The 27,595-nt window shown below is 40.2% G+C and overlaps 1 protein-coding gene across 7 annotated transcripts in view, besides 4 other annotated features; it reads left to right on the top strand.

The window, feature by feature from the left end:
* Positions 1-27,595, top strand: part of THADA (THADA armadillo repeat containing) — a 365,188-nt gene that overhangs the window by 155,955 nt on the left and 181,638 nt on the right. For 6 of the 7 annotated variants that reach the window (NR_144316.2, NM_001345924.2, NM_001345923.2 and 3 more), the window contains 2 exons: positions 9,782-9,871; positions 11,853-11,984. Coding sequence is in view for 5 of the 7 variants with exons in the window: in NM_001345924.2 (NP_001332853.1) it covers positions 9,782-9,871; positions 11,853-11,984 (222 nt within the window). In the remaining 2 variants the exon portion in view is untranslated. The remainder of the gene's footprint in view (positions 1-9,781; positions 9,872-11,852; positions 11,985-27,595) is intronic. The other variant, NR_073394.2, reaches the window with a different exon arrangement.
* Positions 12,789-13,988: an enhancer, noted in NCBI's record as "CDK7 strongly-dependent group 2 enhancer chr2:43653235-43654434 (GRCh37/hg19 assembly coordinates)". NCBI's record gives its function as "activates an origin of replication core promoter dependent on BRD2, BRD4, P300/CBP, MED14 and CDK7 cofactors, with strong dependence on CDK7, by STARR-seq in HCT116 cells {active_cell/tissue: HCT116}" and the evidence as "EXISTENCE:reporter gene assay evidence [ECO:0000049][PMID:35650434]".
* Positions 13,465-13,524: an enhancer, noted in NCBI's record as "active region_15675". NCBI's record gives its function as "activates an Ori minimal core promoter by ATAC-STARR-seq in GM12878 lymphoblastoid cells {active_cell/tissue: GM12878}" and the evidence as "EXISTENCE:reporter gene assay evidence [ECO:0000049][PMID:35858748]".
* Positions 13,545-13,634: an enhancer, noted in NCBI's record as "active region_15674". NCBI's record gives its function as "activates an Ori minimal core promoter by ATAC-STARR-seq in GM12878 lymphoblastoid cells {active_cell/tissue: GM12878}" and the evidence as "EXISTENCE:reporter gene assay evidence [ECO:0000049][PMID:35858748]".
* Positions 14,027-14,106: an enhancer, noted in NCBI's record as "active region_15673". NCBI's record gives its function as "activates an Ori minimal core promoter by ATAC-STARR-seq in GM12878 lymphoblastoid cells {active_cell/tissue: GM12878}" and the evidence as "EXISTENCE:reporter gene assay evidence [ECO:0000049][PMID:35858748]".

Raw genomic sequence — 27,595 nt, 5'->3', positions numbered from 1 at the left:
ACTGTGGGGAGTCTAGTGTGTATTTTTTAACATTTGCATTTTTACTTTTTCCATTAAAATATCTAATAAATAAAAAAGGAAATGAACATATTTTGGATAAAATGTTCAATAAATATTTAATGGGTCTGTAATTTGGAAAGGAGTAAGGATTTCTTTTTTTAAAAGACTTTCGATTTTATGAAATAGGTAAAAGAATATGTATAAAGTATGTATAAGGTTTAAAGAATAACAATGCAATAAACACCTTGGATCTAACACCTAGTTTAAGAAATAGAACATTACAGTAGTCTTCCCTTATCTGTGGGGGATACTTTTCAAGACCCCCAGTGGATGCCTCGAACCATGGATACGCTGAACCGTATATACACTATATTTTTTCCTATGCACTCATAGCTGTGATGAAGTTTAGATATTAGGTGCAATTAGAGATTAACAACAATAACTAATAATAAAATAGAACAACTATAACAATATGCCAGCATCACACTCTTGTGCTTTGGGGCCATTATTAAGTAAAATAAAAGTTCCTTGAACACAAGCCCTGTGACACCAGGACAGTTGATCTGATAAGAGTTGGCTACTAAATGACTAATGGCTGGTGGCATATACAACATGGATAGCTGGATAGAGAGCTGATTCACATCCTGGGCAGAATGGAGTGGGACAGCATGAGATTTCATCACCCTACTCATAATTTATAAATTAGGCACAGTAAGAGATTAACAACAGTAACTAATAATGAAATAGAGCAATTATAACAATATACTATAATAAAAGTTAAACGAGTGTGATCTTTCTCTCTCTCTCTCCGTCTCTCTCAAGATCTCTCTATAGATCTAAATATCTAATGGCACTCAGTTTAAAACTTATGAATTGTTTAGTTCTGGAATTTTCCGTTTAATATTTTCGAACCATGTTTGACCAAGGGAAACTGAAACCAAGGATGAGGATATCTATGGTTTCGCTTTCTGTGATTTCGTTACTGGTCACCAGTGGTTCAAAAATATTAAGTGGAAAAACCAGAAAGAGACAGTTCATAAGTTTTAAATGCTACGTCATTCACTTCACTTTATCTTATCACATAGGCAATTTATCTCACATGATAAAATCTCACATCATCACAAGAAGTAGGATGAGTACAGTATAAGGTATATATATAGAGAGAGACCACATTCATTTAACTTTTATTACAATATATTGTTATAATTGTTCAAGTTTATTATTATTGTTGTTAATCTCTTACTTTGCCTAATTTATAAATTAAACTTTATCACAGCTACGTATGTACAGGAAAAAGCATAGTATATACACAGTTCAGTGCTATCCAGTTTCAGGCATCCACTAGGGGTATGGAAATGTATCCCCTCAGATAAGGGGGGGACTACTGTAATGTTCCACTTCTTTAGCTAGGTGGTAGATCCAAAGTGTTTATTGTATTATTCTTTAAAGCTCACATACGGGGACTACTATACTACAGTTTACTCATGTTTTGTTGATGAACAAGTGGCTGCTGTGCATATGCTTGTACAAGCCTTCTGATGCCCGTTTTCAAGAGTTTATCTAGGCCATTTACCTTGGAGTAGCATTCTTGAGTCACTAGGTAAACACATCTCTGACTTTCAAGAAAATCCTAAATTATTTTTCAGAACTGTAGTAATTTTCATTTCCATGAACAGTATTCTGAAAGATTCAATACGTGGTATTATCAGACTTATTAGTCTTTGCCAATTTGAGGGTATAAAATAGTCTCTTGGCATAGTTTGGGTTTTTTTTTTTTTTTTTTTGAGATGGAGTCGCTCTGTCTCCCAGGCTGGAATGCAGTGGCACGATCTCGGCTCACTGCAAGCTCCGCCTCCTGGGTTCACGCCATTCTCCTGCCTCAGCCTCCCGAGTAGCTGGGACTACAGGCGCCCGCCACCTTGCCCGGCTAATTTTTTTTAATTTTTAGTAGAGACGGGGTTTCACTGTGTTAGCCAGCATGGTCTCGATCTCCTGACCTCGTGATCTGCCCATCTCTGCCTCCCAAAGTGCTGGGATTACAGGCGTGAGCCACCGCGCCTGGCCATCCCTTGGTATAGTTGAGCATCCTTTCTACTGTTTCTTGACCACTTATGTTTATTTTCTGTGAATTTCATTTTGATAGGTGTGTCCATTTTTATATTATTTGTCCTTTATTCAGTGATCACTTGAGTTCTTTGTATATTCTGGATACTGATTATGTAATTCTTAGATATATATATACAAATGTTCTCCCCATTTGTGGCCTGTATTTTTATTTTTAATTTAAAAACTTTATTATCCAGAGGGAGACACTATATCTTCCAATGCTGTTCATTATATAAACATCCTTGAATAGAGTCCGGAAAGTCCAGAACAAAAGGCAGTCAGTGCTTCACTTTGCAATAGTGGCACAGTGGCAGTAACTCATCTTGTCTCTCAACAGCATCTGTCTCCCATTTCTGGTGAAAATTCTAGTGAATTCTCCCATGAATACATCACACTGTTGGCTCCTTCGATTAATCTAAGTGATGAGTTGGCACCAAATCCATTCAGTTTGTCTCATACAACATTTAATTAAGGTTACTACCAGTAGGACACCAAGCAGCAGGATGAGCTCAGCTTTCAGTATTGACATCAACTATGCCACCCAGCATCTCAGATCCAATCACTTGTACAAATCCCAGAAACCAACAGGGTCTATGGTAGAAACTCAAAAGGCTGTCTTTTGAAGTTTTTGTATTGACCTTTCCATTTAGTCCAAGCCATTAAGCCAGGTACAGCAGAATGTATTAGTGATTATACAGACTTTATCTTATCTTATCTTAACCTGTAGATTGGAAGTCTAAGAAAATTTTTCATTTATATTGTTATGACTTGCCCTGTGAATTGAAGCAAACCTGAGTGGCTTTATGGGCTGAAGTGCTATCAGTGATTACCTCAGTTAAAATCAGCTGATAAATTTTGTACCATGTTTTTAATTGAATGACTCTTATAGCAGGAGTAACCAACCACAGGGTGTGCAAAAATAATGAGTTGCTTATATCTCTGGGAAGCTTCTGTGAATAACCAAGCATAACCCCATTTTGGAGAGATCTTCGTAGACATCTGAGAGCTATATGACCTACTGGTGGTATTTCCTTAAACATTTGAAATTTGCTTACAGCCACCCCTAAGGTGCAAATCACCGTGTTTGGTTGGGGGAAGAGTTAATGCCTGCTTTCACAAAAGAAATAGAGTCCCAAGGACACACTTAGTACTCCTGTAAAGAAAGCATTTGTTTACAGTTTGGGGAGATCCCTACGTCAGTTGAGGAGCATATGTTGATAGTGCCTCCATTGAACAATCAGCTGGTAAATCTTAAAGTTTCTAGTTTAGTCCAAAGAATGTATTCTAGTCCTTGGTTTTGGAAGGATTGCTTAAGTACAGTCATTCCAACCTATCCAGTTCTGCCCACACCAACAGCTGAGTGGCATTCAGCTGTCCCTTGAAATGATTGAGCTATGGCTACAGAAAAGGGAAGGACATTCAGAGATATTGACAGGTGCTTGGAGCCAAGGCCATAACATATAGTTTCTGATAGGCTTCTCAGTAAGGTTAAGGGGAAAGCAATCAAATTGTGCTTCAGGTCATCTGAGGGAGGCTCACAGACCCAGCAGTTGGTTAAATTTAATGTGCTCATGACAGTTTGGGGGAAGAGCAGAGCATTTTCCTTGGTGAGGAAGGCTCTTGGGGCAATTTCAAAAAACAGACACCATTTATGTTCTTCCTCCCATTGTACCTCCCGGGGTCTGAGATAGTCTCTTCCCAGGTGTCAAGGTTATTCTCTCTACTTCCTCAAAATCAGTTCTCCCATTTCAATATTTATAACTTTGTCTTTTTTCCAGTTGCTCCCTACTTGCAACCAGACGTTTTGTCTAGAATAGTCAGGTACAAGAGAAACAAGGCATTTTTATAAATTTTACAGAGACCCTTTATGTACTCATGGGCCACTTTAGGAAGACTCAACAAGCTGTGTACTCAAGCAAGTAGTCATTATCTTATGATTTAGAACTAGGTTAATCCTTTTAAGAGAATCCAGGTGGCTAAATAGAATTAAGTTAGAATTTCCTAGGGCTCTTTTGGCCAGGCTGCCACATGGAAGGTGTACTAACTAGGCTGCCTGGATTTGTCATTAGGGGAAAGAAAGAAAGAAGCATTATGCCAGGAATGCTCAGGGCAGAATCCCAAATTTTCAAAATAGGTTAAAAAAAAAACCCTCATGCATTTCTTTTTTCTTTTCTTTCTTTTTTTTTTTTTTTTTTTGGTGGCAAGTTCTCACTCTTGCCCAGGCTGGAGTACAGTTACACGATCTCAGCTCACTGTAACCTCTGCCTCCCAGGTTCAAGCGATTCTGTCGCATCAGCCTCCTAAGTAGCTGGGATTACAGGCAGATGCTACCTCAACTGGCTAATTTTTGTATTTTTAGTACAGACAGGATTTCACCATGTTGGCCAGGTTGGTCTCGAACTCTTGAACTCAAGTAATTTGCTGGCCTCAGCCTCCCAAAGTGCTGGAATTGCAGGCATGAGCCACCTTGCTCAGCCCTCCCTCCCTCCCTCCTTCCCTCCCTCCCTTCCTTCCTCCCTTCCTTCCAGGAGTCTCTTGTTGCCCAGGTTGGAATGCAATGGTGCAGTCTTGGCTCACTTCAACCTCCACCTCCCAGATTCAAGTGATTCTCCTGCCTCAGCCTCCTGAGTAGCTGGGATTACAGGCGTGCACCACCATGCCTGGCTAATTTTGTATTCTTCTTTTAGTAGAGATGGGATTTCTCCATGTTGGTCAGGCTGGTCTTGAACTCCCGACCTCAGGTGATCCTCTCACCTGGGCCTCCCAAAGTGCTCGGATTACAGTCGTGAGCCGCTGCGCCTGGCCCTGGCTATTTGTTTATGCTGTTTTAAAGCCTTGAAGTCAATGGAATTTAATTTGTATACGTAGTAGTGAAACAGGAAAAGTTCCCTTGTCCCCCTTGCAGGGTGTGTGAGTCCCCCTCACAAGGTGTGTGATGGGATTGTAGCTCGCTTCTTAGCGCCCAGCTGCTCAAACCTGTAGGGGAACATACAGACAGGCAGGCTGTGGGGCTCCCACTCCACAGCAGTGTCGAGGGGTGAATGTTTACGGCTGAAGCCCCAGTGGGTGTGTGTTACAGAGTGCTCTTTCAGTTTAGCTGTCCATAGGCAGCTTGTGTTAGTCAGCTCAATTAGACCCCCTTGCCTTGTTGCAAGGACAGAGGGCTTTCTGTATCCCAGGGTTCTTGCCTTGATATACCGGAAGAATTTGATCACACGTAGGCTTGGAGAATTAGTCCAGGGTTTTATTGATTGGAAGTAGCTCTCAGCAGATGGGGGAACCAGAAGGGAGATGGTTTTCCGCTGGATTTGGGCCACTCGGCGGCCTGTCTCTTTTCTGACTGCCCTGGCCAAACTCCTCATTGTTTCGCCAGTCGATGGCCTGCTGGTGCCTGTTGGTGTATTCCTGCCATCCAGCCGCTTGTGTGTTCCTCCGCCCATGTGCCCCTCTTGTCATCCAGCCGCTTGTGTGCCTGCGTGCTAGGGTCTTGGGGGATTTTATAGGTACAGGTTGGGGGCATGGCGGGCCAGGGTGGTCTTGGGAAATGCAGCATTTGGGCACGAAGGCAGGAGTGCCTGTCTTCACCTAGGTCCGTGGGCACAGGCCGGAGACAGAGCCTCCTTCGCCAGGAACCAGCCCTTCTCCTCCCAGCACTTCCCTGCCCTCTTCTCATATCAGTGGGAGCTTGGGATCCAATTGTAATTTTGTCTGTGTGGATAATCAGTTACCACACTACGTTTCTCTGTGATCTGCAGTATTAGCTCTTACACAAATCAAGTTTTATACGTGTATTAATATATGTCTGCTCCTGTGCTTTCTATGCTATTTTATTGGCTTACTTGTACTCATAGTCCTAATTACATGAGTGTTATGGTTTTTTTTAGCTATCTGGGTGAGTCCTCCAACCTTGTTCTTCTTTAAGATTATCTTTGCTACTCTTACTCTTGGCCCTTGATGTGTCTATATACAATTTAAAATCTACTTCTCAGGGCTGAGCGCAGTGGCTCATGCCTGTAATCCCAGCACTGTGGGAGGCAGAGGCAGGCCAATCACCTGAGGTCAGGAGTTCGAGACCAGCCTGGCCAACATAGTGAAACCTCATCTCTACTAAAAATATGAAAAATTAGCCAGATGTGGTGGTGCGCACCTGTAGTGCCAGCTACTCAGGAGGCTGAGGCACGAGAATTGCTTGAACCTAGGAGGCAGAGGTTGCAGTGAGCCGAAATTGCACCACTGCACTCCAGCCTGGGCAACAGAGCAAGGCTCTGTCTCAAAAAATAAATAAATAAAATGAAGTCTTGCAGACACACACACACACACAATTACTGTTTTTATTGGAATTGCGTTGCATTTATAATCAATTTGGGGAGAATGTCATCTTTATAATATGGAATCCTCTCATCTATGAGCACAGCACATCTCCTTTTTTTGTTTGTTTGTTTGTTTTCTGAGATGGAGTCTCACTCTGTCGCCCAGGCTGGAGTGCAGTGACGTGATCTTGGCTCGCTGCAACCTCTGCCTCCCAGGTTCAAGTGATTCTCCTGCCTCAGCCTCCAGAGTAGCTGGGATTACAGGCATGCACCGCCACACCCGGCTAATTTTATATATTTTTAGTAGAGACAGTTTCTCCGTGTTGGTCAAGTTGGTCTTGAACTCCTGACCTCAGGTGATCCACCCGGCTCGGCCTCCCAAAATGTTGGGATTACAGGTGTGAGCCACCACACCCAGCAGCACATCTCCTTTTTAAGGCATATCATTTTTTTTTTCCAAAAAAAATCTCCCGATTAAAAATATGAAATACCAATGTGGAAAAAAAGAACCTTGACCTCTATCTCACACTATACACAAAAATTAATTTTAAATGGATCATAGACCTCAATGTAAAAGCTAAAACCATAAAGCTTCTAGAGGAAGATATACGATATCTTTCTTAGGTAGGTAGAGATTTCTTAGGCATAGAAAGCATGAATCATAAAGAAAAAAATTGATTAAATAGTGAACTTTGTCAAAAATTTTAAAATTCTCCTCATCAAAAGACATTATTAAATAAGTTGGCAAGCCACAGACTAGAAGAAGGTATATGCCATGCATATATATGACCAAGGAAAAGCAACCTATTAAAAATGAGCAAAAATCTTGAAGAGATCCTTCACAAAGGGTCATAATAATGACCAAAGCACATGAAAAGTGCTCAACGTCATTAGTCGTCAAGGAAATGCAAATCAAAATCATGGGAGATACACTGTTGCATACCCACAAGGATGGCTACAAAGGAAGGAAAAACAAAACAACAGCAAATGTTCAAAGGACTGTAGAAATCTCCATCAGAAATCTACCTTACTGTTGGGAGTGTAAAATGGTATAATTATTTCAGGAAACTGTCAGTTTCCTAAATGGTTAGACATGTTACAGTTTTATTCTCGGATATTAATCCAGGAGAAATGAAAACGTGTCCTTAAAAAGTCTTATATTAGAATTTTATAGCAGCTTTATTCATAATAGTAAAAAAAAAAAAAAGGTAAAGAACCCATGCCTGTCAAGAGGAGAATTAATAAACAAACTTACAGATTCATATAATGGAATACTACTCAACAGAAAAAGAACCAGACTATTGATATATTGAATAACATGGATAAATTTCATAAACTCTGTGCTGAGTGAAAAAAGCAAGCCAAAAAAACGTATTATTGCTGGGCACAGTGGCTCACGCCTGTAATCCCAGAACTTTGGGAGGCTGAGGTGGGCGGATCACAAGGTCAGGAGATCGAGACCATCCTGGCTAACACGGTGAAACCCCGTCTCCAATAAAAGTACAAAAAATTGGCCGGGCGCGGTGGCTCACGCCTGTAATCCCAGCACTTTGGGAGGCCGAGGCGGGCGGATCACGAGGTCAGGAGATCGAGACCATCCCGGCTAAAACGGTGAAACCCCGTCTCTACTAAAAATACAAAAAATTAGCCGGGCGTAGTGGCGGGCGCCTGTAGTCCCAGCTACTTGGGAGGCTGAGGCAGGAGAATGGCGTGAACCCGCGAGGCGGAGCTTGCAGTGAGCCGAGATCCCGCCACTGCATTCCAGCCTGGGCGACAGAGCGAGACTCCGTCTCAAAAAAAAAAAAAAAAAAAAAAAAAAAAAAAAAGTACAAAAAATTATCCGGGCGTGGTGGCGGGCGCCTGTAGTCCCAGCTACTTGGGAGGCTGAGGCAGGAGAATGGCGTGAACCCGCGAGGCGGAGCTTGCAGTGAGCCGAGATCCCGCCACTGCATTCCAGCCTGGGCGACAGAGCGAGACTCCGTCTCAAAAAAAAAAAAAAAAAAAAAAAAAAAAAAAAAAAAAAAAGTACAAAAAATTATCCGGGCGTGGTGGCGGGCGCCTGTAGTCCCAGCTACTTGGGAGGCTGAGGCAGGAGAATGGCGTGAACCCAGGAGATGGAGGTTGCAGTGAGCCGAGATCGCACCACTGCACTCCAGCCTGGGCAACAGAGTGAGACTCCGTCTCAAAAAAACAAACAAACAAAAATGTATTATTACATTTATATGAAATTCTAGAATAGACAAAACCAAACTGTAATGATAGAAATCAAATCAGAGGTTCCTTTGTGGGGCGGGAGTTTGCTGGGAAGGGGCATGGGGGATCTTTATGGGATGATGGAAATTTTCTGAGTCTTGATAGGGGTGTGGATTACGAGTGTATGTATGTGTGGGTTGAATGGTACACTTGATCACAGCATTTTGCTGTGTGTAAAAACGTTTCAGTTTTTTTAAAATGTGATATTCTGGATTTCAATTAATAGGAACATAACATGTAGAGCTGATAAAAATGGGTAGGTTAGGGAATATTTATGTCACCCCTTCGGAGTAATTCTTTAATAGTTATGGAGACAGTTTGTTCCTAAATGCCATATTTAGCTTGAGCTTTTTGGTCAGTGGTGCAGCCTGAGGAACTATTCTACTTTCGTAGTTCAAGAGAAGTTTTTATAAAGTTGAAAAAGATAATTCTTACAAGTTCAGCAAGGATTAGATTTCCAGAACTTCACATGCCAAGACTGTACTTCTCATAACCATACTCCAAACCAGTGGTTCTCAATCAGGGGCCATTTTGTCCCACAAGGTATATTTGGCAATGTCTAAAGACATTTTCATTGTCATGATTGTTGGGGAGGGGTGTTGTGCTGCTGGCATCTAGTGGGTAGAAGCCACGGAGGCTGCTAAACATCCCACAATGTGTAGGACAGTCCCCTGAAACAAAGAGTTATTTGGTCCAAACTGTCATTGGTGCCAGGGTTGGGAACGCTTGTTCTAGACCTGTCCTTATCACTGAAGCTGAGTCAGTCTCAGTCAATCTGGTGTTGACTCTACTTATAGTCCAAATCAGTTGTGGAAACTTGGCATTGGCACAGATTACATATTTCTTCCCTGATAAAATTTAATATCAAATATTTGTAAACATACATAATCTTAAATTTTGAGATAAAAGTTCATGGATTGAGAGCACTTCAGAAATCAGAATTACCATTTGTGTTGATTGTTAAATTCTTAAGATGCTGTAGATTCTGTTTTTAACTGTATTTAATTAAATATCCAAACAACCGTACTTATCTTCCTTTTTTTAAAAAAAAGGCTTTATTGTCAGATCAAAGGGAATAAATGATAATAAATTTTTTCCTCCTTCTTTCACAGAATGACAGGGAGAGAGTTTTTCTCTCGTTTCCCAGAACTCTATCCTTTTCTTCTCAAACAGTTGGAAACTGTAGCCAATACAGTAGACAGGTAAGAAGAGAATTGGGTGGGGCAAAATGACCTCAAGGATGTGAATTACCTTAGTAATTGAGATTTTCCCTCTAGGCAGCTGTTTTTAATAAAATTCTTCCCTTTTTTAAATTTGTTTAAATTTTTTCCTTGAGACAGGGTCTTTCCCTGTCACCCAAGCTGGAGTACAGTGGTGGCCACCACTCCTTGCCCATTTTTGTATTTTTTGTAGAGATGGGGTTTCGTCATGTTTCCCAGGCTGGTCTCAAACTCCTGAGCTCAAGCAATCTGCCCACCTGGGCCTCCCAAAGTGTGGGGATTACAGGCTTGAGCCACTGTGCACGGTCAGACTGCTTCCTTGCATAAAATTGGCTTTTTTATTAAAGTGCTTTTTTGTAATTATATCATATTGCTTGGTTCTCTGTAGTAAATTTGTACCTGAAAAGTTATGTAAAATCCTGTCTTTATATTTTAAAAATGCTATTTTATGTTAAATTTTATCAAACTTAATTCCATTTTCGGTGGTACAGAAACTAGGAATCACATGGTGATTTCTTCTGTTATGAATTATTTTCTTCCTATTTTTAAAAAAATCTGTGTTTACATATTGAGTTTGCTTTATGCATACCTGTCATTTTTTATTACTGGCTTGTTGCAACTTACCATTGTGAAACTATAGCGATTAGCTGACTAATATGATCACTTGTGTTCAGAAATGGTTCTTGTCTACCTGAGCAGAAATGGCCAGTGTTCTTGGAAACACAGAGCAAAGCCATTACGAGGGCTTTCCAGTCTTATAGTTCACCATTGTCTTAAAAATCACATTCTGGCTGGTGTGGTGGCTCACACCTGTAATCCCAGCACTTTGGGAGGCCAAGGCAGGTGGATCACCTGAGGTCAGGAGTTCAAGACCAGCTTGGCCAGCATGGCGAAACCCTGTCTCTATTAAAAATACAAATATTAGCCAGGCTGGTGGTGCGCACCTGTGATCCCAGCTACTTGGGAGGCTGAGGTAGGAGAATCACTTGAACCCAGGAGGCAGAGGTTGCAGTGAGCTGAGATCTTGCCACTGCACTCCAGCTTGGGTGACAGAAAAATACTCCGTCTCAAAAAAAGAAAAAAAAAACACACACACATTCTGAAGCTGGTAGTGGAATTTTTAGTATGGACATCATAAAGCATGTCTTTTGTATTTTTCCTATAATTTTGCACTTGGTATGAATGTACACTAATTGTTTATAATTAGAAAATAAAAGTAATGAATTTTACTTCTGGTTATGATGCATTTGCTCACATTAGTAGTTTATGCTAATGTGCTTTTCTGGCCTTTAGTGACTATTCATGCTTTCTTAAATACATTTGGATGTTGAAAGTTTCACATTTCATACTGTGGAACAGGCACGTCTCTACTGTAGGAACAGTTCTAATCAAAATAGCGTACTCTAATTATGTAAATGATAAGCTTTGAGAAGAGGATCCTGTACGAAAGCCCATTTCCCTGTTTTGCTAGTAGTTTTTTCTTATGATGCACATTTGGGAGATAAGAAGTGAACGTAGAAAAAAAAAAGAAAAAAGGAAAACTATCCCCTTGATTGTGGAGTCTCACTTCATATACATAATTTTGTTTTTGAAATGGAGTCTCACTGTGTCACCCAGGCTGGAGTGCAGTGGCGTGATCTTGGCTCACTGCAACCTCCGCCTCCTAGGTTCAAGTGATTCTCCCACCTCAGCCTCCCGAGTAGCTGGAATTACAGGCATGCGCCACCACATCGGCTAGTTTTTTGTATTAGTAGAGATGAGGTTTTACTGTATTGGCCAGGCTGGTCTTGAACTCCTGACCTCACGTGATCCATCCGCCTCGGCCTCCCAAAGTGCTGGGATTACAGGCATTAGTCACCGCACCCGGCCATATACATAATTATTTCATGAGAAAAATGTTTGAAGGAGGAGTGCTTCACTACCTAAATGTGAAATCTTTCATGTGTAATAATTGTTGTTTCAGTGATATGGGAGAACCAAATCGTCATCCAAGCATGTTTCTCTTACTTTTGGTGTTGGAGAGACTCTACGCTTCCCCGATGGATGGTACTTCTTCTGCTCTCAGCATGGGACCTTTTGTTCCCTTCATTATGAGGTAGTGTCATGCTGTGTAGAAATTGTCTAGGTTGGCGTGGGAGTTTTACGGGAATATTTTATCTTCTTCTTATTTCAGAAACTATTTTATATATATCATATATATTTTATATATATATATTATTTGTTTGTTTGTTTGTTTTTTGAGACGGAGTCTCGCTCTGTCGCCTGGGTTGGAGTGCAGTGGCGCGATCTCGGCTCACTGCAAGCTCCCCCTCCCAGGTTCACGCCATTCTTCTGCCTCAGCCTCCGGAGTAGCTGGGGCTACAGGCACCCGCCACCACGCCTGGATAATTTTTTGTATTTTTAGTAGAGATGGGGTTTCACTGTGTTAGCCAGAATGGTCTCGATCTCCTGACCTTGTGATCCGCCCACCTCATTCTCCCAAAGTGCTGGGATTACAGGCATGAGCCACCGCGCCCGGCCATATTATATATTTTTTTATATATGTAAACCTATTGTATATATTAAAAACTATTATATATATAACTATTATATATATTATATGTAAAACTTTTGTATATAACTATTGTGTGTGTGCGTGTATATATATATAACTTGTATACACACACACACACACACACACACACACACACAAACTTTGGGAGGGGTCTTGTGAAAGCAGAGGCCTGGGTTTTCCTGCCATTGCCCCCAGTGTTTCAGAGTAAGGTGCTTATATTGTGGGTACAGGATCTCATTAGAACCTGTGTAAGTAATGTTTTCTTTGAGCCCTGTCTGCTCCAAGGCAGGTGGATGGTGTTGATAGGAGATACTCCTTTTGAAAGACATAGCCCCATGTTTGCGTTATTCCTGTGTTGAGCCTGGCTAGCACGGAGCAGGCTTGGTTCTGGTATGTATCTTCTGTCCACGGGTTCGAGAGGATGTCAGGACATCTGCCTCTTCACTCTGGAAGAGTCTGCGAGCCGGTGCAATGGGTGGCATGTAAATGGTAATGCCATGTGGCATGAATTCCCACTCGTCTTCTCTTTTACGTTTGTAGTACCTGAAAAAAGCCATGAATATAGAGTATTCATGAAATAATATAACAGGGTTCTCTTCTTTTAGAGCCTATTACCACTTCTTGTGTTACATCTTTTCAGGCATTTGCCGTCTTCTGATTACTTTGTTCATTTTGGATCAAAGGCCTAAATATGTAGGCCTCCAAGAAGTATTAAAATTTTCTCATGAAACCTTTCAGAAGCCTATCATATTAGTTAGCTATTACCTTTCTGCTTAGCTCTTGACAAAACAGTACCTTCATTTTTGTGTTTCTACCAAAAATTGAAGTGGATTTGGAGCAGAAGGGTAAGAAACCAAACTCAAGAGAGTATTTCTTATGTATGTAGTGTCCTAGGTTTCACTTCCTTGTTTCACAGAGCTGACTTATGCATTTTAATGTGAGAAAACCATTAAACATGAGGTTCTGGCATGCGCTTGCAGAGCTATTTGTTTGCGCCAAGCCTTGGCTGTGGCTGTGTTATCTTTGATCACAGAGATGACTCAGGCAGACTGGTTTTTGTTTCCTGATATACAAAGTTACCAGTCTCCTTCATCTGGCATTTGGTGATTCATTTTAGGAATTTGGGTGGTAAATTTTACTTTCAGGGGCCTTAAAAATTGTTCTTTCATGAATAAGTGGAAAGAACTAAGAAATGTTTTCAGAAAGTTGATGCAAGGAGGAAAGGCATGTGCACAGAATTGCAGTTTACATTAGAAACAGAGATTTGCTTTAGAACCTGTGCTCTGTCTTAAGAACATTGAATTTGTGGAAGCTTTTTACTACTCAGTCTGTTGTTCATTGCATCCTAGAAATAATAAATTACTACATTGAAAGTACCTTTCAGTGGTACCTGAAAGTACCTTTCCAAAATGTTGCTTAGTTTACATATAATCAGAATGCTGATACTACTCATTATATTCAAAGTATCCATTATATAAAACAAAGATTGCATTAATATAGAAAATTTAAATATTGCTTTGAAGCCAGTGTACTTAGGGCATCATTTGTTAACCTCTAAAAATACAAAGTAAGAAGTTTGCAATCAGTCTGTTCTTCCAGTGAAAGAAAATGCTGCGGTTGTAGTTGCTTTCTTCCAGTAAGTAAGGTGCTTTATGAAGTAGATTCATAGAACATCACCAACAGCAGAAGTGCCACCAACCAAAATACAAGGTTATTTTGGTGTAACAGAAAGAGCACATCTATCACTCTTGACAAGCCCTGCACTCTTGGGTTCAAATTGTAGCTCTGTAACTGCCTTGCTTGCTCTCTGAACCTCAATTTCCTCAACTTGCAAATGAGGGTGATAACACATCTTCTGAGAGTCACTGTAAGCAAAATGTCCTGTAAGCAGAAGCACCACCCTTGATTCCTTAAGTACAGAGCCTAGGCTCTGACTTATTGACTGTCCATGTGTGTTATAGAACAGTGTTTCTAAAACTTTAAGATGTAAACATATCACTTGGCTATCATATAAATTCTGATTTCAGTAAATCTGAGGTGAGGCCTGAGAGTCCGACTTCCAAATGGTCTTCCAGATAATGCCACTGCTGCTGGTCTGTAGATCACATTTTGAGTAGCAAAATTAAACTTGGGATATTAAATTTAATACCATCACACACACACACACACACACACACACACACACACACACACATACAATTTTAACAAGCTAGACAGTAGTAGCTTATTAAAATTGGTTAGGCAGTTTAAGGAATTTATTAAGAAGTAGATTTTGACCCAGGAATGCAGAAAACAAGAAAGAAAGTGTTCTGAGCAGAGAAGTCAGTAGGAAGTAGACCAACCTTTGTTGAGCCCCGTCTTTCTGCCAAGTATTGAACTGGTCATTTTACTTACAGTGACTCTGAGAAGAGGTGTTATCACCCTCATTTGCCCGTTGAGGAAATTGAGGTTCAGAGAGCAAGGCAGTTACAGAGCTAGAATTTGAACCCAAGAGTGCAGGGCTTGTCAAGGGTGTTAGATGTACTCTTTCTGTTATACCAAAATAACCTTGTTTTTTGGTTGCCTTTTGAGTAGCCAGTAACTTAGCTACACGGAATGGACCTATAGGGTCTGAAATGTATGCAACTGAGAGAGATGAGGAGCCTATATCCACAGCTGCTGTATCTGAGTACAGGCTGTCTTCTGGATATAGACGTAATGTCTCTACCAATGGTGGGATCTGTTCCTTATTTTGCTTTTCCTGTAGGAAAAGTGACTGATTGGATTGGTTAACCATGTGTGGCACATGGTGACAATCGCCTGGGGTTATAGGACTGGTTTGTGGCCAGATACAGTAGAAGCCTGGCTCTTCTTTCTTGGCCACCTTCTGTGGTAAAGTGGAAGGCCCTAGATTTAGTTAGTTTGGGGTTTCATCAGCCTACCACAGGGAAAACCCATGCTACCCCAAAATGTTCACTGGCGAGGTGAACTATAAACAGATTTTTAAAAAGCAGTGAATGTGATAAAACTGTATGCATTTGATTTAGATGACCTCTGAGAATATTATTCATGAAGAAAGTGGAAGGCTGATCATAAAACCTGTCATTCCAGGCAGTGCTTGTGGTTCTGATTGTGGTAAAGAGTGGGCTGTTTTGACTTGGGGTAATAGCTAAAAAGATGGATGGGTGTATGCACAGTGGGTCAGCAGTGTTTTATTTTTGTACCGTTGTTAAGGGTAATTTATGTACTTGGAAGGGTTTTCATCAGGCTCATGGATACTATGAGTTTGGCCAAAGAAAAAAATTTCAGTTTGTGGGAGTAGTGCAAAGGTTGCTCTGACTGCTAAAAGTGAATTGCACAATGAGAAGAAGATTAAAAGCGCCAACAAGAGCTTTTTGTTTCCCTTTGATTTATGTGTACTTACCTGCTATTTCCTTCCTCTCTGTAAGGTATTTATAAGTATTATATGTAGTTTTACTCCTTTATCCCATGTTTAAGAGTATACCTAAACATATATGCCATTATGATTGTTGCATCCTCTTGGGACAGAACTTATAATGTCAATCCCAACATCTTGTATACAACTTTTAAAAAATCCAGTGTATTTTATGTTCTGATGTTGTGCTGCATCCAGATACAAAGCCCTTTACCATGTGAATGTGATGCTTTCAATTTAAGACCATTAATTCATTCTTCAGTTCAGGTACCACAAAGCAGAATAATTCATGCTTTAAAAAGAACCTTGACTGGCTCTCTGAATGCAGCTCACCAGGGCCTGCTTCTCTGGGCTTTCTAGAGACTAGAAAGTCTTTTCAGAGGCCAAAAAGTCCCTGGGCATACATCTCTGAGTTCCCTTTCACAAGCAAGTTTCAAGTTCCAGTCAAAGAGCTCTAGGTAACCACATATGCCTCAAACCTAGGACCATAGAATCCTGAACAAAGGCCCAGGAGAGCTTAGACGAATCAGGTCTCAGAGGCCGAGGCGGGCGGATCACCAAGTCAGGAGATCGAGACCATCCTGGCTAACACGGTGAAACCTCGTCTCTACCAAAAATACAAAAAATTAGCCGGGCATAGTGGCAGGCGCCTGTAGTCCCAGCTACTCGAGAGGCTAAGGCAGGAGAATGGTGTGAACCCAGGAGGCAGAGCTTGCAGTGAGCAGAGATTGTGCCACTGCACTCCAGCCTGAGTGACAGAGCAAGACTCCGTCTCAAAAAAAAAAAAAAAGAAAGAAAGAAAGTAAAGCTACTTATTTGGTAGGTATATGAAGTCAAAAGACTGATGCTGGTGACATAGCTTCAAATGCTGGAAAGTCCAAGTGAAAATTCTTTTGAGGAGATAGGGAAAGAATCTCTTGCAACTTTATAGCATGATGCTTTATGATTATGCTGTTAATGGCTAAAAGTAGCCATAAAAAAAATGAAGGCAAGCTAGATTGCATGCTTATCAAATTTGTGAGCAAATTAAGATTCAAAATAACCTTCAAGCATAGGACTGACAAACACAAATTCAGGCATAAGACCATTACCTCTGAATGGGGAGGAAAGGGGTGAAATTGAGGAGCCATGTACTAGAAGCTACAATTTTATTTGTGATGTGTTCTTAAATTGGGCATTGGGCAAATGCTTGAATGTCATCCTATTCTCTAGATTCTTTTCGTTGTTGTCATCATTTTGTATGTCTGATGCAGTTCATCATTTAAAAGTAAGATTCGAAATAGCCTGGACCAGCCTGGGCAACATAAGGAGAACCTGTCTCTACAAAAAATTTTAAAAATTAGCCAGACTTGGTGATTTGCGCCTGTAGTCCCAGCTACTTGGGAGGCTGCGGTGGGAGGATTGCTTGAGCCCAGGAGGTCAAGGCAGCTCAAGTGAGCTGTGATTGGGCCACTGCACTGCAGCCTAGGTGACAGAGCGAGACCCTGTCCCCCAAAAAAGCCTTGAAAGACTGGATTGATGGGATGAGACTATCAAGATAACATTTAATAGAGATATATATCATTCTGATTTTTTAAAGAAAAGTCAAAATTATATACATACAAAATGAGGGCTATCTGGCTTCATAGCAGTTTTTGTGGGGGAAAAAATATCTTGGTGAATGAGATATCCTGGTGAACCATGAGAAAGCAGCATGACACTGTTGCTGCTTCCAGATAGTGGAGGCTGTAGTCCCCCTGAACTCTGTTGGTTAGCCTAAACCCACATTATTCTCCTTATTATTCTGTTCTGGGCTCCCCATTTTAGGAAGGTCACTGAAGAACTAGTATCTGTCGAGGGGAGGTGACCAAGATGAGGAGGAAACCAAACATCTGGAAACAGTTAGACTGGAGAAGACTTAGTGGCAACATGATAATGGTCTTTATATACTTGAGAGACTGCCATATGGTAGAAGGCGCATAATTTCTCTTTTTTGCTCCCAATGGGAAAATGGAAGATAGATTTCAGCTTTTAATTTAAAGAAGAATTTTGTGAAAATTAGTATTCTCTATCAAGGAAAAGAACATATTTCCATAATACTGAGTTTGCCCATCAGCAAAAGTGTTAAGTTTTCAAGGAAAACTGATCACATGTTGAGCATATATCTGCAGCGCACCTGAGGTTGGACTGGATATCATCAAGGTATCTGTTTGGCATGCCTTATTTCAGAATAGGTGAACAACTCAGCTGTGGATTCTGAATGTTCAGTGAATGAAATGATCAACCTGCCTCTAATCCTGTGACAATATTTGTACATTTTTGTTTATGGGTCCTTCGATCTCTCAAAGAAAAGAAGTTGGGATGCCATTCTTGGCATGGCCCAAAAAGTCACAGTGGTTTGCTCTTAAATGGCACCCTCCAGGAATTAATCTACTAAAATTTAGCATTTAAGTAACTTCTGTAACTGTGTTCTGGATAGTTCTGAAAACATATTTTTGGCCTATGAGATGTTATGTCTGAAAAGCATTCTTTATTAATTTAATTACCTTTTTTTGTGGTTCCTGTATTTTTCTCCATTCCAGATGTTGGCTTAAGCCACATTTTCTGACAAGCAAAAGAACATCTGAGTCTTTGAGAAGTCAGAGATGCTTTTCTAAAGAGTGGTTATAGTAGATAACTCTTTATTGTCCCAATTTCCCAAAGTATCTTGAACAGAGTTGCCTGGAGAGAGAGTACAGGGGTCTCCAAGCCTTGCTCATTACAAGTAGAAACACCTGAGAAATAGGGCTTTGCCAGTACTGTTGACATAGAACTTCCTGCCCTGGCCAGCACTCTACCTGGTCTGTGGTTACTACTAAATTCCATGAGGTTCAGAGAAGGGAATTATAGGAAAGGAGTATGCCCCCACCCTTCCCCCGCTGCCCAGCCATCCTAATCTGCTAACAGTTGTTGGGTGAAAAAAGGGTTCTGCTATCCCATAATTCTGTGGAAACCCTGGCCCCTTGGTTTCACTATGTGACTGTCTGATACCAGGTCAGGCTTGGGACCAGATTGTTGAGGCACAGGTGTTCAGTGCTGCTCAGTTTTCTTCTTTGCTTATAGGCCAAACTTGCAAAACATGTAAATGCCCCCAGTGTTATCTTCCATGGGGTATTTGTATATTACAGATACATACATTTTGAAATAAAGCAGTAAAACTCTAATGGTGGTGTTTTAGGCCTTATATAGGGAGGATCTAGAAGCAGAGATTGGAAGGTTGTTTCCTATTGCTGGGGAAATCACATTGTTTGGGCAGCTACTTACTCTGCCTCCTTTTTACTGTGCCTAGCACTTTATTTGGAGGGCTGTACTCATGGCCCTCTGAATTTCTGAATTCTACCCAGGGTAGCTGAGGTTCAGCATGTAGTATGAAATTATGTTTTGCATTATGTGTCTTTTTTTGCAAATAGTTCTGGCATAAAAAGATACCTTGTTATCTGTCACCAATTTTTATCTGTTAGTTCCTAGATAGGGGCCTGGCCAACTTCATTTCTGGTGCCAGATCTCTTTAAGACCATTTTCTAAATATGTTTTTGAGCAGAAGGAATGAGGAGTTCACCTCTTATGGAATGCATTGACAAAGCAAACTAGAAAAACAGAACTTGTAGGGACCAGCTTTTCTTCAGTGTTATCTGTTATCCCAACAGGCCAGTTTAGGTCATGTTAGAACAAGTGATTTGATCTGCACACAGTCCCATTCTTAGGTGAAATTTCTGACAATGATGATAATCTATGGCCTATTGCTGCCATTCATACTAGAAGTTAGAATCTAATCAGTTAATTGAGTAACCAAGTATTTGTTAAACATTCATTGTGTACCTAGCTAGTGTTAGGTCTTGGGTAAGATGCAAAGTAAAGAAAAATGTCTTTATGCTTAAAGAACTTACCGTCTAGCTAATAAGGTAAAATACATGCTTGTGAACCTGATACCGTGTATATTAACCACTTAATTATATGACATATACACTAAGGACTGAGGCCTACAAAGAAGGGGAAGAGCATCAGTGGGTTGGAGAAGTCCGGGAGGCTTTCCCAAATAGCAAGGCAGGAAGAAATGTGGGAGTTCAGTCTGCCATCTCAGGGACTTTTAGAAATCACCCATGGTGATTAACAAGTCATGTGAGAGGAGTGAAAAGTCAGGGGGATCCAACAAGGGGAAGATTGTGATGGAGAGTTTTATGATTCATAACTTGGAAGGCATCATAAAGAGCTTTGCTTCCACTTGAACCAAGGGCGACCCAGGAAATTCACAAAATAAATGGTTTGCTATTTAACAGGAGAAACCATTGATGGTGCACCTTTGGTAACTTTAATAAAGAACAGTATTTGTCCTGAGTGTTGCATTTAAGTCTTGTGGAAGTAATGAATTGTAGTGGGAAAAAAAATTTAAATTTAGTAATACTTAACATTTTAAAGTATCTTAACAGTGTTTTTCCATACAGAACTTTTATTTCCTTGTTCTTAAATTGTTTCTCAAAAATTGTAGCAAAGGTGCTCTGCAGGCATTTTTAATGCTGAATTGAAGGATTTCACATTACCAAGCCCCAAATGCTGACTGATAGGCAGTCATCCTACACAGTAGAGAACATTTTAGATCAAAAATGTGTTTTTTTCTTCCAGAAGAAAATAAGAATTGGGAAATAGAATAAGAAGGTAAAGATAAATTATAGAAGGCTTCAAATGAGGACAAGGAAAAATAATGACATAGTGTGTTTCGGTTAGCTTTCTCTGACTGGAATGGGTTTTCCCTTTCCCTCTGGGCCTTGGCCCCCACCGTCTATTTCTAATCTTCTAGTAAAAACAAGCTACACATGTTACATCAGCTGCTCAGGATACCTTCACCCTCACGTCCTTTTACTTTTTCCTTCCTCACTCACTTTGAACATTGTGACTCTTGACTGCTCATCTTGCCTCCCTTCCAACCAGTTATAGACATTCTCTTCTTCACCATTTATTCTTCTCTGTCTCTTTATATTGTGATCACTCTTCATCACCAGTTCATCCTTCCATTAAGTGTATTTACTGAGGGCCTACTTTGTGCCCTTGCCCAACCCAACACCCCTACTCTCATCACCTCTCATTTGCAAGAGAAGATGTGGAGGCCATCAGGTGTGGGTTCTGTCCATGGAGAAACCCACTCCACCCACAGTCCTCTCCTTTGTTTTATAGCCAGGCTCTAGGAAAAGGTGGTCTGTGTTTAGTCTCCATTTTTCCCCTTCTTAACCCACTGCAGCCTGGCCGCTTCTTCCACTGCCTCACTAAACTGCACCAACAAATAGGAGTGACCTCCTTATTAAAAAAGCCACTGGGTGCTTTTCATTCCTTCTCATTTCTGCTTTTTCTCTGGTGTTTGATGCTATTGCAGACTCCTTTCTTCTTGAGTTCTTTCTTCTGTGGCTTCTCTGGCCGTTATTTCTATCTCTCCTTGGAGGGCCCCCTTCCTCCCGCTGCCTCTCAAACATTGGTATACCTGTTTGTCCTGCCCTCAAACCTTTTCTTTTTCACTTTGCATGCTCTCTCTGGGGTTATCACTCACCTACACTTACCTGGTCCTAGATCTAGAACTCATATAGAATCACAAGTTCAACTTTCTATTGGACAGCTTCTTCTGCATGTCTCACACACATCCAAAAGTTGAGAATTTCAATTACCTCTGCACACTGAAGTTTGAACAGCCTTCTTTTAGGGCCTAGTACAATGTCTGACATCTTGCTCTACCTGGCTAGCTGCAGTCAGGGAACTTCTTTAAGGGAAACATATCAGAATCAGGACTCAGGGTGGCACAGAGGTTCCTCCCGCTGTCAGTGACTGTGTTCATGCATACCCAGTAACAAAGGAGCATTGGTTTAAAAAATCACTGACTTCTGAAAGCGCTCCAGTAAGCTTGAAATGATTTGCTTTGCTTCTTACGTTGATTATCATCAGTTTGAGGTAGCAAGTAGCAGGTGCTTGTTCCTTTCTTTGGAGGTGAAAAGCCAAGGCCCAGAGAGAGTAGACATAATATGCCCACATTCAAAAAGTGACTCCCTAAGGAGTCAGGGCAAATTCATTTATTCATTCACTCAACAGATATTTATTGAAAACAATTATGTTTCAGGCACTAGAAACAGAGTGGTGAATCAGACAGATACAGTTTTTGGCATAATGAGGTATCCTTTTTGACGATGCTTCTTATCTCTTCTTTGCTCCTATTTTTTCCATCCTGATTAGTGATAAATGATAATAATTAGCAAATGTTTACTATAAGCCAGGCAATATTTTAGGACTTTACACATATTAACTCATTTAATCATGATGACAGCACTATCAAGTCATTGTCGTTACTATCCCATTCCACAGAGGGGGGGAATGTTGGGCAGTAGGAACTTTCTAAATGTGTCCTACCTAGCTCATACTGGTAGTGATAAGGCGTGAATTTGAACCCAAACAATCTGACTCTAGAACCCATGCTGTTAGCGACTGCTTTAGCTATTCTAGCTCTTAACACTGTAATACTTGCTTTTGCTCATCTGTTTATGATGCTGTGTCTGTGAAGTATGACAGGGTAGTTCTCAGCATGCCAAAATTAACCTGCAGCTTTACCTAACAAACATTTGGACTTACTTTGCTTTCTTGAGATATTTCCCCCCTTGGGCATTTCGTTGGCAGTAGTCTCATTTTCTAATCTGAAATCAGGAGAAAAGGAAGAAAAACTTGCAATAAAGCTTAAGTGGTTGTGACAGGTTGCTAAATAAAACTGGCTCAACTGAAGTTTTGAGATTCTTGAGAAACACTGAGAATTTCTTACAAAGGAAATTTTCCTTATTATAATAGGAAATCATGGGTCATTGCACAGTTATAAGTGTCTTAGTAAAGAGAGAATGTGGCTTGAGGCTAAGAAGCCTAAAATCTTAATGAGATTATTTGTGGGCTGCTATTTATGCATAATTTTTAAACTCTTAGAAAATATGTTTTCTATCTGTCTTTAGTATGTCATCTTAAGTTTCCACTGCTTTACGTAATTTTGAAAATCTTTAGGGTTGCTAGAAAAAAAAAACAATAATAGCAAATGTTTACATAAGAATTTAAGTTTAGAGTGTACTTTCACATATAGTAACTTGATTGTTTCTCTTTTTACTCTCTTATAAAGAAAACAGCCACTCCGTCTCAAAAAAAAAAAAAAAAAAAAAAGAAAACAGCCATGAGGATATCAATTCGTGTTGAAACTTTTTTAAATTGCCAATGTTTTCTTATGCAGTAATTGTAAACTGATTTGGAAAAAAAGGAAATCTAAATCTGTGAAGCGTTTACATTACTGAATAGTATGAAAGGAAGGTTTTGTTACTTAAGATTGCATATAATAACTTCAGGAAACTGCTTTAATGGATAAGTAACAATAGCATCTGGTTGTTAGTTGATCATCTGTACTCCAAGGCCTCTGAAGTGGGTTCACACCGCCCTTGGTTTGCCAATTTTATATCTTTTATGTACATAGTCCTACTGCCCTCTTTTCATAATTATCCAAAGGTTACCAGCCAAAACCTGTGTGGAGGGTACACGGAGGATGAGATGTGTCCCCTGGGGTTTTTGCATTAGGGAAAATTCCTGATCTGGGACATTTGTGCCCTGACCACCAGCCCCCAAGAGATGCCACATTTTTGTCTACTTTAGTTGAAAACTCTCAGTCCTACAGTAGGCTGTAGTAGGCCTCAGTCTGAATAATCACAAAACCAAGAAACATTAATGAGATTTTTCTGTTCAGTTTCTACAGTGTCCGGAGCATTAACAAAATATATATTTGTATGAAATCTACAGGCTACTGTGTAAATAAGCCTGCTCCCTTTTGGTTATTAAATCATACAGGAAAGAAGCATCTGTTTTAGCAGAAACTGTGGAAAAATATATCCAGGTAGCCCAGGAAAAGTTGAATTGTTACTGACAGATGTGTCACCACAGACAAGAAAAGAATTTACAAAGCAGTGGACAGACAATATTTTCAGACAATAATCTGTCTTTTTGGGTGATGTGTGGGTAGCATTGGTTTGTTTCTTGCCTGAATGTTTATTCATTTTTTTCCCAGGAGAATCCCTTTTGCTCAGCTTCTTTCTGGTTTGGATAAAATGAAAAGTAAAATTGACTTAATACTAATTATAACCTGCATAATTCTACTGAAGAGAAACTTAAGAAATAGAATTATTTTTTCTAGTTAAGCTTCAGGGTCATATAATTATTATAATTCAATCATTTATTATCCCCCCACCCTTTTTTCTGTGTGATTTAAGACATCAGAATTTAATTTGTAGCCAGAATGAAAACTGGACTTAAGAAAAGCTTGACTAGAGAGAGATTTGCATTCTGCTGCGTGGTTGAACATGTCTCTAAAGTAGCAGCTTTAGAATGCCATGTCCTGATAGAATTCCCCGTTGAAAGCTAGCCAGCAGAGCAGCTTCCTTGTGTCCTCCTCCTTGCCTGACCCACCGTGAAGCGTCACGAGGGCCCTAGATATGAACCTCGGGGGCTCCACAGCCTGACAGAAGAGAACTAGTGTCGCTGGGCAATCCATGATCTGGCACAGAAGCCCCAGGCTCTAGATTTTGTAATTGGCCACCCACCCTGGCCCAACCTTGGATAAATATTCCTGAGTTCTAAGTAGGATGAGGAATTTAAATCCCTGTTTTTTCCTGAGTTCTTCCATAACCAGTCCACGACATTGTTATGAGATCTGAGTGGAGTGCCCATGCTTGGAGAGGGAATAAAGGGAGCACGTTCTACTACTACTAATGAATACATACTCCCATTAACAGTCCCTTTTTCCCTAGGAATGATGCCACTGGAAGGGCCAGATGTGACTCCACTGTAGTCACTGACCCAGACCAGCTTTACCCCTAGGGTAATTGAAACCTATATTAAATGATTTGACAGGTCATAAGCAGTGCCCTCTACCCACTTAATTTTCTCAGATGCCTCCTCCATTATGAGCTAAACCTTGTAGATTTTCATTCTTTTAGTATATGGTTTTGATCCCTTCTAAAATGGACATCTCAATGAAACATAAATTACTTAAAAGTTATTAGTAGTCATTTATGCCATAGTATGAATTAGTTTACGTTTCTTTGGTTTTGACAGGAAGATAAATAGAATACGTTGGGGAGAAAATGTAGAACTCGAAACAAAGGGAGAAAGCAAGTTGCCACCTTTGGAAGACTGCAGTGATTTCTTTCCCATTAGAATTTGCTCTCATGTTTTCAGTGAAGCATGGCATCGTGTTTTCCATTCACCTCTCCTTTCTGGCAGGGAAAGACTTGGAGTTCTTTTTACAGCTTTAACTCTTTCTTACCCCTTCTAGATGTAGTTCCATTTCCTTTCTAAGATGAAAGCTTGTCTTTGTGCCCTCCCAGAATAGTTCCAAGCAGCAGAACACAGTGAATCCTTCCAGATAAAAGACCCTGCTGATAAAGTGCCAGATTGTTATCAGAGAAGCAGTGAGGGGAGTCAAGTCCCTACCATTAATTACCTAGTTACAGTTTTGTTTATATCCTGTTCATTTGGGGCATGTTTTTCTTGGACAGTTTCTAGTCTGTGTTCTGAACTGAAGTCTGAAGTTTGTAAAAATCCCAAAGGTCAAGGAATAGTGGGTTCCTTATTTTCTGAAAGGTTTAATGGCAAGGAAGAGAAGATCAAAGTTTCTATCTTTCATCTGGAAGGAAATAGACAAATGCTTCATTTTGGTGGTTCATTCCTCACCTCAAGCATACAAACCATAGTATGTTGGATGAACTCTGACTTCGAATACCTAGCCAAGAGGTTACCTGGAAATAGAATGACATGTATCTCTGTGAAGACGTGAGTATCAACCAATGAATGACTAGATATCCACGCATCAAGGCCAGAGTCCAGTTGAATCTAAAATAAAGCTTCTTGGTAAATGTACTTGATGCCACTGAACTGTACACTTAAAAATGGTTAAAATGGTAAATTTTAGGTTATGTGTGTTTTACCACAACAAAAGTAAATATTACTTCCTGACAGCTCCAGTGCTTCAGTCACAGTTGCAAATACAGTTGGACCTCATCCAATCATTTATGGATTCAACCAACTGTAGATCAAAAACATTTGGAGAAAAAGTAAACACAACAATAAAACACAATGCAAATGTAAAAACAATACAACATAACAACTTACATAACATTTACATTGTATTAAATATTATAAGTATTCTAGAGATTATTTAAGGTGTACCAGAGGATATGCATAGGTTATATGCAAATACTGTGCATACTTTACATAAGGGACGTGAGCATCTCACGGGTCCTAGAACCAATCCTTTGAGGATTCTGAGGGCCAACTGTACAATATGGGTGGGCTGCATGGCCTGCATTATTTTGAATGGGATTGCTGTTGCATATAAAGCATTATGTATCCATTTAAGAACTGTGGGACTGTGAGTACCGAATACCTTAATGAACAGAAGAAGATGAAGAGACCATTTTGTCACCATCATACAAACATACTAGGAAGTTTGGGATTGGAAAAGAGCCCTTTCTGTCTTGAAAATGATTGACTCTGAACCATGATAGCCACTCTCTTTCTACAAATGAACCAAAAGAAGTGGCAATGGGTCACTTGATGGCTGAAATAGTAGTGCCTAAGGCTTTGATTATCAAATAGTGATATTGATATGTTCCACAACTAGAAATGTAGTATTAGGTAAGGCAACCTCATCTGTGGTATCTGGCAGCCATTAAGTAGCCAAGCATATATTTCTTGACCGTATTAAATTTGTATCTCACCTTATGCTGCTGTATTAGGTTCTGTCCAAAACCCAACCCATCTTTGCTAATCAGACTGCTGACTTACGATTCAGCCAGCCCTCTTAGCCTCACTGGTGATGGGGCGGGGGTGGTGGTGGGGTTTTAGGACTAGACTGTTGTGTTTTTCTCATCAAGCCAAGAAACTTCTCAGACCCTGCAAACATGTTACCTGGTAACATAGCTACAGTATGAATTTTAGGATAGAAAGAAGGAAGGGAGGGAGGAAAGGGAAAATAAAGAAAATAGCCCTATGACATAGCTACAGTATGAATTTTTAGGATAGAAAGGAGAGAAGAGGGGAGAGAGGGAAATAAAGAAAATAACCCTATTTCAAATCATGAAGCTTTTTTTATCGTTAACCCCAAATGCCCTTAACTCAGAACTCTGACCAAAAGATGTCTCTTTTTTCCCTGTGTGTATTGAACTCATGCACTCATGCCTATCATCATTTGAAGGTAGTTATGAGACATTCATTATGACTTCAATAACTTGCACATATTTAAATTTAGTGTTTTCTTTAGAAAAGGCTAGAAGATGTAGGGATTTAGGAAGAAGTTAAGGTAAACTTAAAATATATAAAAGCTCACTTTGAGTGAAAACAAGTAAAAACAAGCCCTGACCTTCTCAGAGGTAAGAAAAGTTGAAATTAAATGTATTCTTTAGGAAATAAAGACTTTGCCAAGAATAGCATGGTTAGTTAAAGCAGTCTGGTGTGGAAGGTGTGTCTTTTAAAAAATAAGATTTCTTTACTTTCTTCTTGACTAATGGTTTTGTCAGAAGAACCATTTGAATAATAAATGAAATGCTTTGAAGTATATAGGGGAGTGGAGAACTTTTCTGTGACTTGTATGAACTGGTGATACAGATTATAAACTAAGTGATGCCAAATTCCACCAGTTTACCCAGGCTCTGAACACTAGCAAATGTAG

The sequence above is a fragment of the Homo sapiens genome, chromosome 2, assembly GCF_000001405.40.
Source record: "Homo sapiens chromosome 2, GRCh38.p14 Primary Assembly".
NCBI classification, from domain to species: domain Eukaryota; kingdom Metazoa; phylum Chordata; class Mammalia; order Primates; family Hominidae; genus Homo; species Homo sapiens.
This window is presented reverse-complemented; position numbering and strand designations above follow the sequence as displayed.